We start from the raw sequence: 13,283 nt of genomic DNA, 5'->3' as shown, positions 1-13,283 counted from the left end.
CAGGCAGTTGTCACACTGCTTCTTAATAAAAGATCTCAACCAACTCCAGGGAAATGCAGTCTCCTTATAGATAGGCAGCAATTGAAACCGGTGATCAGCAGCTTCTGGGTAAGATTTCCGGAGCTGGGTGAGTAGACTCAAGCATGCACATCAAGAGGCCAAATGGCGGAGTTTAATGTGTGTGATCTTCCGGGGGCATTCCACTGGTAAAGGGAAGAATGCCTCAGGTGAGCATGCATACAACTCCAGTAAACATACCACACGTGCTCACATTCCAAGTGCCAGCAGGCCACCGCACATGCAGGCAGCTCACCGCAAGGTAAGAGTTAAGGGAAAAGGGACAGAAGACGCCAGAAGAATGCCAGCATATAAAACCCTAGGCCCAAGGTCAAATGGGGCACTTTAGCTCCAAGATGCCTGCTTGGCCCTCTTCCAAGTGTACTTTACTTTCTTTTTATTCCTTCTTTATAGCATTTTAATAAACTTTCACTCCTGCTCTAAATCTTGCCTTGCTCTCTTCCTCTGCCTTATGATGCTCAGTCAAATTGTTTCTTCTGAGGAGGCAAGAGTTGAGGTTGCTGCAGACTGGTAAGGATTTGCCATAGGTAACAACAGTATTTTAACAGTGTAGAGTTTTCTTTCTCATTTATGCATGGCATAATGTGGTCAGGTGGCCCTCCTCTGTCTTGCAGCAATACCATCTGGAAAATGTGGAGTCGGAAACTGCTGATACGGCAGGGAAAGAGAGATCTAGAGGTTTGTATGATGTATTGAAGGGCCAGGCCTGGAAATGGCCAGTACTTTTTTCTACATTTCCGTTTGTCAAAATCCTATCACATGGCCCATCTGCAAGCGATGGGGGAAATGAAAAGGAATACTAAGTCTCTGCAACAATCACAAACAAAAATCTGTCGGGTGTGTGTGCGTGTGTGTGTGTGTGTGTGTGTGTGTACACAGTCATGCATTGCTTAATAATTGGGATATATCCTGAGAAATCCATTATTAGGCTATTTTGTCATTGTACAAATGTCATAAATTATACTTACACAAACCTAGACGCGAAAGCCTACTGCACACTTAGGATCTATGGTCTGAGGTCAGGAGATCGGGAGGAGCCAAGATGGCCGAATAGGAACAGCTCCGGTCTACAGCTCCCAGCGTGAGCGACGCAGAAGACGGGTGATTTCTGCATTTCCATCTGAGGTACCAGGTTCATCTCACTAGGGAGTGCCAGACAGTGGGCGCAGGCCAGTGGGTGCGCGCACCGTGCGCGAGCCGAAGCAGGGCAAGGCATTGCCTCACCTGGGAAGGGCAAGGGGTCAGGGAGTTCCCTTTCCGAGTCAAAGAAAGGGGTGACGGACGCACTTGGAAAATCGGGTCACTCCCACCCGAATATTGCACTTTTCAGACCGGCTTAAAAAACGGCGCACCACGAGATTATATCCCACACCTGGCTCGGAGGGTCCTACGCCCACAGAATCTCGCTGATTGCTAGCACAGCAGTCTGAGATCAAACTGCAAGGCGGCAGCGAGGCTGGGGGAGGGGCGCCCGCCATTGCCCAGGCTTGCTTAGGTAAATAAAGCAGCCAGGAAGCTCGAACTGGGTGGAGCCCACCACAGCTCAAGGAGGCCTGCCTGCCTCTGTAGGCTCCACCTCTGGGGGCAGGGCACAGACAAACAAAAAGACAGCAGTAACCTCTGCAGACTTAAATGTCCCTGTCTGACAGCTTTGAAGAGAGCAGTGGTTTTCCCAGCATGCAGCTGGAGATCTGAGAACTGGCAGACTGCCTCCTCAAGTGGGTCCCTGACCCCTGACCCCCGAGCAGCCTAACTGGGAGGCACCCCCCAGCAGGGGCACACTGACACCTCACACGGCAGGGTATTCCAACAGACCTGAAGCTGAGGGTCCTGTCTGTTAGAAGGAAAAATAACAAACAGAAAGGACATCCACACCGAAAACCCATCTGTACATCACCATCATCAAAGACCAAAAGTAGATAAAACCACAAAGATGGGGAAAAAACAGAACAGAAAAACTGGAAACTCTAAAACGCAGAGCGCCTCTCCTCCTCCAAAGGAACGCAGTTCCTCACCAGCAACGGAACAAAGCTGGATGGAGAATGATTTTGACGAGCTGAGAGAAGAAGGCTTCAGATGATCAAATTACTCTGAGCTACGGGAGGACATTCAAACCAAAGGCAAAGAAGTTGAAAACTTTGAAAAAAATTTAGAAGAATGTATAACTAGAATAACCAATACAGAGAAGTGCTTAAAGGAGCTGATGGAGCTGAAAACCAAGGCTCGAGAACTACATGAAGAATGCAGAAGCCTCAGGAGCCGATGCGATCAACTGGAAGAAAGGGTATCAGCAATGGAAGATGAAATGAATGAAATGAAGCGAGAAGGGAAGTTTAGAGAAAAAAGAATAAAAAGAAATGAGCAAAGCCTCCAAGAAATATGGGACTATGTGAAAAGACCAAATTTACGTCTGATTGGTGTAGCTGAAAGTGATGCGGAGAATGGAACCAAGTTGGAAAACACTCTGCAGGATATTATCCAGGAGAACTTCCCCAACCTAGCAAGGCAGGCCAACGTTCAGATTCAGGAAATACAGAGAACACCACAAAGATACTCCTCGAGAAGAGCAACTCCAAGACACATAATTGTCAGATTCACCAAAGTTGAAATGAAGGAAAAAATGTTAAGGGCAGCCAGAGAGAAAGGTCGGGTTACCCTCAAAGGAAAGCCCATCAGACTAACAGCAGATCTCTCGGCAGAAACCCTACAAGCCAGAAGAGAGTGGGGGCCAATATTCAACATTCTTAAAGAAAAGAATTTTCAACCCAGAATTTCATATCCAGCCAAACTAAGCTTCATAAGTGAAGGAGAAATAAAATACTTTACAGACAAGCAAATGCTGAGAGATTTTGTCACCACCAGGCCTACCCTAAAAGAAATCCTGAAGGAAGCGCTAAACATGGAAAGGAACAACTGGTACCAGCCGCTGCAAAATCATGCCAAAATGTAAAGACAATCGAGACTAGAAAGAAACTGCATCAACTAACGAGCAAAATAACCAGCTAACATCATAATGACAGGATCAAATTCACACATAACAATATTAACTTTAAATGTAAATGGACTAAATTCTCCAATTAAAAGACACAGACTGGCAAGTTGGATAAAGAGTCAAGACCCATCAGTGTGCTGTATTCAGGAAACCCATCTCACGTGCAGAGACATACATAGGCTCAAAATAAAAGGATGGAGGAAGATCTACCAAGCAAATGGAAAACAAAAAAAGGCAGGGGTTGCAATCCTAGTCTCTGATAAAACAGACTTTAAACCAATAAAGATCAAAAGAGACAAAGAAGGCCATTACATAATGGTAAAGGGATCAATTCAACAAGAGGAGCTAACTATACTAAATATATATGCACCCAATACAGGAGCACCCAGATTCATAAAGCAAGTCCTGAGTGACCTACAAAGAGACTTAGACTCCCACACATTAATAATGGGAGACTTTAACACCCCACTGTCAACATTAGACAGATCAACGAGACAGAAAGTCAACAAGGATACCCAGGAATTGAACTCAGCTCTGCACCAAGCGGACCTAATAGACATCTACAGAACTCTCCACCCCAAATCAACAGAATATACATTTTTTTCAGCACCACACCACACCTATTCCAAAATTGACCACATAGTTGGAAGTAAAGCTCTCCTCAGCAAATGTAAAAGAACAGAAATTATAACAAACTATCTCTCAGACCACAGTGCAATCAAATTAGAACTCAGGATTAAGAATCTCACTCAAAGCTGCTCAACTACATGGAAACTGAACAACCTGCTCCTAAATGACTACTGGGTACATAACAAAATGAAGGCAGAAATAAAGATGTTCTTTGAAACCAACGAGAACAAAGACACAACATACCAGAATCTCTGGGACACATTCAAAGCAGTGTGTAGAGGGAAATTTATAGCACTAAATGCCCACAAGAGAAAGCAGGAAAGATCCAAAATTGACACCCTAACATCACAATTAAAAGAACTAGAAAAGCAAGAGCAAACACATTCAAAAGCTAGCAGAAGGCAAGAAATAACTAAAATCAGAGCAGAACTGAAGGAAATAGAGACACAAAAAACCCTTCAAAAAATCAATGAATCCAGGAGCTGGTTTTTGAAAGGATCAACAAAATTGATAGACCGCTAGCAAGACTAATAAAGAAAAAAAGAGAGAAGAATCAAATAGACACAATAAAAAATGATAAAGGGGATATCACCACCGATCCCACAGAAATACAAACTACCATCAGAGAATACTACAAACACCTCTACGCAAATAAACTAGAAAATCTAGAAGAAATGGATACATTCCTCGACACATATACTCTCCCAAAACTAAACCAGGAAGAAGTTGAATCTCTGAATAGACCAATAACAGGAGCTGAAATTGTGGCAATAATCAATAGTTTACCAACCAAAAAGAGTCCAGGACCAGATGGATTCACAGCCGAATTCTAACAGAGGTACAAGGAGGAACTGGTACCATTCCTTCTGAAACTATTCCAATCAATAGAAAAAGAGGGAATCCTCCCTAACTCATTTTATGAGGCCAGCATCATTCTGATACTAAAGCCAGGCAGAGACACAATAAAAAAAGAGAATTTTAGACCAATATCCTTGATGAACATTGATGCAAAAATCCTCCATAAAATACTGGCAAACCGAATCCAGCAGCACATCAAAAAGCTTATCCACCATGATCAAGTGGGCTTCATCCCTGGGATGCAAGGCTGGTTCAATATACACAAATCAATAAATGTAATCCAGCATATAAACAGAGCCAAAGACAAAAACCACATGATCATCTCAATAGATGCAGAAAAAGCCTTTGACAAAATTCAACAACCTTCATGCTAAAAACTCTCAATAAATTAGGTATTGATGGGACGTATTTCAAAATAATAAGAGCTATCTATGACAAACCCACAGCCAATATCATACTGAATGGGCAAAAACTGGAAGCATTCCCTTTGAAAACGGGCACAAGACAGGGATGCCCTCTCTCACCGCTCCTATTCAACATAGTGTTGGAAGTTCTGGCCAGGGCAATCAGGCAGGAGAAGGAAATAAAGGGTATTCAATTAGGAAAAGAGGAAGTCAAATTGTCCCTCTTTGCAGACGACATGATTGTTTATCTAGAAAACCCCATTGTCTCAGCCCAAAATCTCCTTAAGCTGATAAGCAACTTCAGCAAAGTCTCAGGATACAAAATCAATGTACAAAAATCACAAGCATTCTTATACACCAACAACAGACAAACAGAGAGCCAAATCATGAGTGAACTCCCATTCACAATTGCTTCAAAGAGAATAAAATACCTAGGAATCCGACTTACAAGGGATGTGAAGGACCTCTTCAAGGAGAACTACAAACCACTGCTCAAGGAAATAAAAGAGGATACAAACAAATGGAAGAACATTCCATGCTCATGGGTAGGAAGAATCAATATCGTGAAAATGGCCATACTGCCCAAGGTGATTTATAGATTCAATGCCATCCCCATCAAGCTACCAATGACTTTCTTCACAGAATTGGAAAAAACTACTTTAAAGTTCATATGGAACCAAAAAAGAGCCTGCATCACCAAGTCAATCCTAAGCCAAAAGAACAAAGCTGGAGGCATCACACTACCTGACTTCAAACTATACTACAAGGCTACAGTAACCAAAACAGCATGGTACTGGTACCAAAACAGAGATATAGATCAATGGAACAGAACAGAGCCCTCAGAAATAACGCCGCATACCTACTACTATCTGATCTTTGACAAACCTGAGAAAAACAAGCAATGGGGAAAGGATTCCCTATTTAATAAATGGTGCTGGGAAAACTGGCTAGCCATATGTAGAAAGCTGAAACTGGATCCCTTCCTTACACCTTATACAAAAATCAATTCAAGATGGATTAAAGATTTAAACGTTAGACCTAAAACCATAAAAACCCTAGAAGAAAACTTAGGCATTACCATTCAGGACATAGGCATGGGCAAGGACTTCATGTCCAAAACACCAAAAGCAATGGCAACAAAAGCCAAAATTGACAAATGGGATCTAATTAAACTCAAGAGCTTCTGTACAGCAAAAGAAACTACCATCAGAGTGAACAGGCAATCTACAACATGGGAGAAAATTTTCGCAACCTACTCATCTGACAAAGGGCTAATATCCAGAATCTACAATGAACTCAAACAAATTTACAAGAAAAAAACAAACAACCCCATCAAAAAGTGGGCAAAGGACATGAACAGACACTTCTCAAAAGAAGACATTTATGCAGCCAAAAAACACATGAAAAAATGCTCATCATCACTGGCCATCAGAGAAATGCAAATCAAAACCACTATGAGATATCATCTCACACCAGTTAGAATGGCAATCATTAAAAAGTCAGGAAACAACAGGTGCTGGAGAGGATGTGGAGAAATAGGAACACTTTTACACTGTTGGTGGGACTGTCAACTAGTTCAACCATTGTGGAAGTCAGTGTGGCGATTCCTCAGGGATCTAGAACTAGAAATACCATTTGACCCAGCCATCCCATTACTGGGTATATACCCAAAGGACTATAAATCATGCTGCTATAAAGACACATGCACACGTATGTTTATTGCGGCATTATTCACAATAGCAAAGACTTGGAACCAACCCAAATGTCCAACAATGATAGACTGGATTAAGAAAATGTGGCACATATATACCATGGAATACTATGCAGCCATAAAAAATGATGAGTTCATGTCCTTTGTAGGGACATGGATGAAATTGGAAACCATCATTCTCAGTAAACTATCACAAGAACAAAAAACCAAACACCGCATATTCTCACTCATAGGTGGGAATTGAACAATGAGATCACATGGACACAGGAAGGGGAATATCACACTCTGGGGACTGTGGTGGGGTGGGGGGAGGGGGGAGGGGGGAGGGATAGCATTGGGAGATATACCTAATGCTAGATGACGAGTTAGTGGGTGCAGCGCACCAGCATGGCACATGTATACATATGTAACTAACCTGCACAATGTGCACATGTACCCTAAAACTTAAAGTATAATAAAAAAAAAAAAAAAAAAAAAAAAAAAAGAAAAGGTCAGGAGATCAAGACCATCCTGGCTAACACAGTGAAAAAAAAAAAAAAAAAAGGATCTATGGTCTGACTTTCTGACTTATTGATCCAAGGCTACAAGCCTGTACAGCATGTTACTATATTGAATACTGTAGGCAACTGTAACACAATGGTAAGTATTTGAATATTTAAACGTATCTAAACATAAAAAGGTATTGTAAAAATATGACATGAAAGATAAAAAACGGTACACCTATGTGGGACACTTACCATGAATGGAGCTTGCAGGACTGGAAGTTGCTGTGGGTGAGTTAGTGAGTGAGTGGGGAGTAAATACGAAGGTCTGAGACATTACTGTACACTTCTGTAAACTTTATACACACTGTAAACTTAGGCAACACAAAATTTATTCATTTTTTTTCTTTCTTCAATATTAAATTAACCTTACCTTACTATAGTGTTTTTACTTTATCAACTTGTTATTAAATTTATAAAACTTTTTGGCTCTTTCATAATAAAATTTAGCATAAAACACAAATACACTATACAGCTGTACCAAAAATATTTCCTATCTTTATGTCCTTATTCTATGAGCTTTTTTCCATTTTTCATTTATTATTTTTTACCTTTAAAATATTTTTGTTAAAATCTAAGACAAAAACACATACATTAACCTAGCCCTACATAGGGTCAGAATCATCAGTATCAGTGTTTTTTCACCTCCACATCTTGTCCCACTGGAAGGTCTTCAGGGACAAAACACATTTGAAACTGCCATCTCTTATAAGAACAATGCCTTCTGACACGCCTACTGAAGGAACTGCCTAAGGCTTACAGTTAGGTTTCTTTTTTAATAAGTAGGTGAAGTGAACTTTAAAATAATGATAAAAAGTATATTATAATAAATACTTAAGTTGGTAACATATTCATTTATCATTATTAAGCATTACGTATTATATGTAATTGTATCATCCAATACTTTTATGTGCATGAAAATACAGTAAGTTTGTTTACACTGGCATCATCACAAATAGGGGAGTCATGTGCTGCACTATCAATAGCTACATCATCACTGAGAGGTGGACAATTTTTAGCTCCACTATAATCTTATAACTGTCATTGAACAAAATGTTGTTATATGGTATAAGACCATATAAATATGTCCTTACTGGCAAAGTCTTAATGACCATTTTGCTTTTATTGAATAGTTATCTACTATTCAAAAAATATGAGCAAGTCTCCTCAAAATTAAGGTGAGATGATGCTATATTGTGCTTTACTTTTTACTCAAAGTCCTTTTATTGCTTTTGAAATACAACACTGAAATTTCAATATTTTGTTAACTTTCAACTATGTTTTCTCATGTTTTTCTAGAGCAAATAGGCAACTTACAAGATATGCTAATGCAGAATAAAAAAACATTTGGAGGTTAGTTATACTTTATTCAAGAACAGAAATATCCTACAATTTACCAACTCTAAATATAAAACAAGTAACACATCCATTAACTAACCTAATCAAGAACATGCTAAAAATAGCATAATTCTAGATGCATGCAAGTGAAGTAATTAAAATGCAAAATAAAATGAAAAGGTAATTCTGAAATTATGTTAATGTTCATATGTTTATACATTGGTTTTTGAAATCTACATATAGTATTGCTTTCCCCCTCCCTACCCATGCATTTTCCAAACCACTTTCAAAATGTAATACTTGGTGAACATAAACATATATATATATATATACACATAACAAAAGAAACAGAGAGCATAATTTTCCTTTTCAGTAAAGACTTGGTTCCTCTGCACTTGGGAACTCTCTGTAATTATATTGTAATAATTTAAGAAAGACATGGTTGAGATTGAAATGGTGACTAAACATCTAAATAAAAGGGCCAGTGGGATGACCAATTCCTATTTGAAAGAAATTCCAGGTTTGGAGAGTAAAGGAGGTCATTGAGTCAAAGTCTTATTATGTCTAACAGAACAAAATAACAATTTTAGCTTTCTACTTCATCATATCTGTGTTTTAGGGTAGAATCTCTTTCTCACTTGCCTCTTAAAAATATTTTTGACAATAAAGCTATCTTATAACATTTAAAACACCCATAACTATTTGTATTTAAAAATAGCCTATAGAATACATGTAAAGTATGAAAATAAGTAGAAAAATAATAAGTGAAAAAGATAGGTGTTAGTGTTTTCAGTTATTTAGGCATCTGGCAAAGTATCCTTTGGTGTGTATTAATTTACATGCAGAAAAAAATGGATTAATTATAAAGATACCTCAGAATGTTTTATATCTCCCTATACAGCACAGAATTTAATAGTTTAAAATAGAAATTACAGAACAAACTCTCAGATGAAGAAGATTACATATTTTTAATCTCAAATGATATAATTGAAGAAATTTTTAATTTAGAAGACAAGTATTAAATTCAAATCCATGCCCCATTACTAACCATGTTATATTTCACAATTTAGAGTTACTTGAAAGCCTCCTTCCATTACTGAAACTCTCCACCTTCAGATTCTTGACATTTTACTTGCCTTTTTATCTGGCCACTTATGACCCCCAAACAGCTCCAGATTTACAGCCTCCAACCCTACACAGATTCTCTTAATGGGGTTACAGCAATTCTTCAGTCAGTGAGTGCTCTAGGTGAGGCCTCTTTCAACTTGACACTAGTTCAGCTCCTTTTTACTGGACTTGTAAAGACCAAGGTCCACGTTTGACTGACAAGAAATGAGCTAGTGATAATGCTTATTGCCTGATGAATCTGGAGGGATGGGTAGAGGGCAGAGAAGGCAATGTCTGCAAGCCATGTTAGAATATTTTGTTTACTTTCTATGAGTAAACGTATTGGAAGTAAAGAGAATTGGATGAATTTGAAAGATAGGAGGTACAATGATCAGGAGCTGGTGATAAGTTGGATATGAATGTTGAGAGATAATCAAATGTCAGGAACTTTATCATTAATGCGTTGCTATTTATACTATAATGCTGAATTTTAATGTCAATGTCATTATACAGTTTAACATAGAAATTATCTATATCTTAAAAGATTTTATCTGTAAAATTTTAGTAGGAGTTTTTGACAAATTTTTAAGTTTCTTCCATGATTTTAATCTAATTTAATTTTCTAAACCTCACTGAGTTTTCATAGAGATTTATAGATTTCACACAGATGTGCAAATTTGTTAGCATCAAGTATTATACTTTACTACCTGATTATAATTTTTAAAAATTACTTTGTATTTGTTTCCACTTCCTATTCTTCATTACATAAAATGTGAATTAGTGGTTTCCTTTCTGCTTTTTAAACTATGCTATCTATGTCTTTTTACTGGTCTTTTCAATAATGTCATATTTGAATCTTTGTAACTTTTTATATACATTTATGGGGTATTGTGTAATTTTGTTACATGGATATATTTGCACTGTGGAAAAGTCAAGGCTTTTGATGTATCTATAACCAGAATAATGTACATTGGACCAATTAATTAATTCTTTATCTTTCAAACCCCTCTGACTTCCCACCCTTTCATGTCTCCATTGCTTATCATTCTGCACCCTATGTCCATGTGTACACATTATCTAACTCCCACTTACAAGTGAGAACATACGGTGTTGGTCTTTGTGTGTCTGAGTTGTTTCACTTAAGATAATGTCCTCCAGTTCCATTCATGTTGCTGCAAAAGACATGATTCCTTTTTTTAATGGCTGAATGGTATTCTATTGTGTATATATGCCATTTTCTCTGGCCAGTCAGCTATTGATGGACATTTAAGTCAATTCCATATCTTCATTATTGTGAATAGTGCCATAATAAACTTTTGAGTGCATGTATCCTTTTGATGTTGATTTTTACTCTTGGGGTAGATATATAGTAGATGGATTGCTGGATCAAACAAATGGTAGTTCTATGTTTAGTTATTTGAGAAATCTCCATGCTGCTTTCCATAGAAGTTGTACAAATTTACATTCCCATCAATAGTGTGTAATTGTGAGTGACATTTTCTCTGCATCCTCCCCAACATCTGTTATTTTTTGTTTTTCTTTTTAGTAACAGCCATTCTGATTGGTGTTTGATAAGGTTTGGATCTGTGTCCCCATAAAATCTCACATTGAATTGTAATCCCCAGTGTTAGAGGTGGGGCGTAGTGGGAGGTGATTAGGTCCTGGGGCAGAGTTCACATGAACGGTTTAGCACCATCCCCACTTGGTACTGTATAGTGAGTGAGTTCTCCCGAGATGTGATTGTTTAGAAGTGTGTAGCACCTCCCCACTCTGTTTCTTGCTCCTGCTCTGGCCATGTGATATGTGCGCTCCTCCGTCACCTTTCGTCATGACTGTACATTTCCTGAAGCTTCCCCAGAGGCCAAGCAGATGCCAGGATCATGCTTCCTATAGCGCGTACAGAACTATTAGCCAATTAAACATCTTTTCTTTACAAATTACCCAGTCTGAGGTATTTCTTTATACCAATGAGGGAATGAACTAATACAATGTGCAATGCTATCTCATTAAGAATTTAATTAGTATTTCTATGATGATTAGTAATGATGAGCATTTTCTCATATGCTTCTTGGCCATTTGTATGCTGTTTTTAAAAAATGTCTGTTCATATCCTTTGCCTACTTTTTAATGGGATTATGTGTGTGTGTGTGTGTGTGTGTGTGTGTGTGTGTGTGTATTTTTTGTTGTTGTTGAATGTTTGATTTCCTTGTAAATTCTGGATATTAGTTTCTATCAGATGTACAGTTTGCAAATATTTTCTCCCATTCTGCAAGTTGTCTGTTTACGCAGCCGATAGTTTCTTTTGCTGTGCAGAAGCTTTTTAGTTTAATTAAGTCCCCTTTGTCTATTTTGTTTTTGTTCCCTGTGACTTTGAGGTCTTAGTCATGAATTATTTGCCTAGGCCAATTTCTGGAAGAATTTTTCTTAGGTTTTCTTCTGGTATTGTTATAATTTTGAGTCTTCCATTTAATTATTTAATCCGTCTTGAATTGGTATTTGTATATGGTGAGAGACACGAATTCAGTTTCATTCTTTTGCCCGTGACACTCCAATTTTCCCAGCACCATTTATTAAAAAGGTGTCTTTTCACTAGTGTGTGTTCTTGTTAACTTTATCAAAGATCAGTTGGTTGCAAGTATGTGGCTCTATTTCTGGGTTGTCTCTTCTGTTCTATTGATATATGTGTCTGTTTTTTATAACAGTACCATGCTGTTTTGATTATTATATCCTTATAGTACAATTTAAAGTCAAGTAACGTGATGCCTCCAGGTTTGTTCTTTTTGATTTTGATTGCTTTGGCTATTTGGACATTTTTTGGTTCATATTAATTTTAGGTTGCTCACTTTCACCACTCCTATTCAACATTGTACCAGAAGTCCTAGCCACAGCAATCAGGCAAGAGATGGAAATAAAAGCCATCCAAATTGGAAAAGAGGAGGTCAAATTTTCCCTTTTTGCTGATGGTATGATCTTATAGCTAGAAAATTCCAAAGATTCCTTCAAAAATCTCTTAAATTTGATAAATGAATTCAGTAAAGTTTCAAGATACAAAATCAATGTACAAAAATCAGTAGCCTTTCTATACAGCAATAACTATCTGGATGAGAGCCAAATCAAGAAGGTAATCCCATTTATAATAGCTGCAAAAAACAATGAAATATCTAAGAATGTACTTAACCAAGAAGATGATCTGTACAATGTGAACTATAAAACACAGATGTAAGTAATTATAAATGACACAAACAAATTGGAAACAACACCCCATGTTCATGGATCAGAAGAATTAATATCATTAAAATGGCCATAGTACCAAAAGCAATCTACAGATTCAGTGAAATCCTATCAAAATATAATTTTTATTTAAACATTTATATGTATTAATTTTTGTATTTATAATATATGTAAGTTTTTTTCTTCTTATGGACTTCATCATTGGTTCTGGTTTGACTTTGTTTTCATTGTTTCCTCATTTTATTTTATTGGATAGAATACAGGGTTCAATAATTTTTATTTCTCAATTGTTTAGAAAAATATATTTCTTAAGAAATAATTTTACTAATTTTATTTTTTGAGACATTGCTGCCTTCTTGAAATGTTTAGAAATTTGAAATGAGATTATCTCC

The 13,283-nt window shown here is 37.6% G+C and overlaps 2 annotated features.

The window, feature by feature from the left end:
* Positions 314-1,513: an enhancer, noted in NCBI's record as "CDK7 strongly-dependent group 2 enhancer chr11:23325332-23326531 (GRCh37/hg19 assembly coordinates)". NCBI's record gives its function as "activates an origin of replication core promoter dependent on BRD2, BRD4, P300/CBP, MED14 and CDK7 cofactors, with strong dependence on CDK7, by STARR-seq in HCT116 cells {active_cell/tissue: HCT116}" and the evidence as "EXISTENCE:reporter gene assay evidence [ECO:0000049][PMID:35650434]".
* Positions 747-1,343: an enhancer, noted in NCBI's record as "H3K27ac-H3K4me1 hESC enhancer chr11:23325502-23326098 (GRCh37/hg19 assembly coordinates)". NCBI's record gives its function as "activates a minimal SCP1, AML or CMV promoter by ChIP-STARR-seq in naive H9 embryonic stem cells {active_cell/tissue: H9 hESC(naive)}" and the evidence as "EXISTENCE:reporter gene assay evidence [ECO:0000049][PMID:30033119]".

Source organism: Homo sapiens, chromosome 11 (assembly GCF_000001405.40).
Source record: "Homo sapiens chromosome 11, GRCh38.p14 Primary Assembly".
Lineage (NCBI taxonomy): Eukaryota > Metazoa > Chordata > Mammalia > Primates > Hominidae > Homo > Homo sapiens.
Note: the sequence above shows the minus strand (reverse complement) of the source record. Positions and strands in the feature narration are given on the sequence as shown.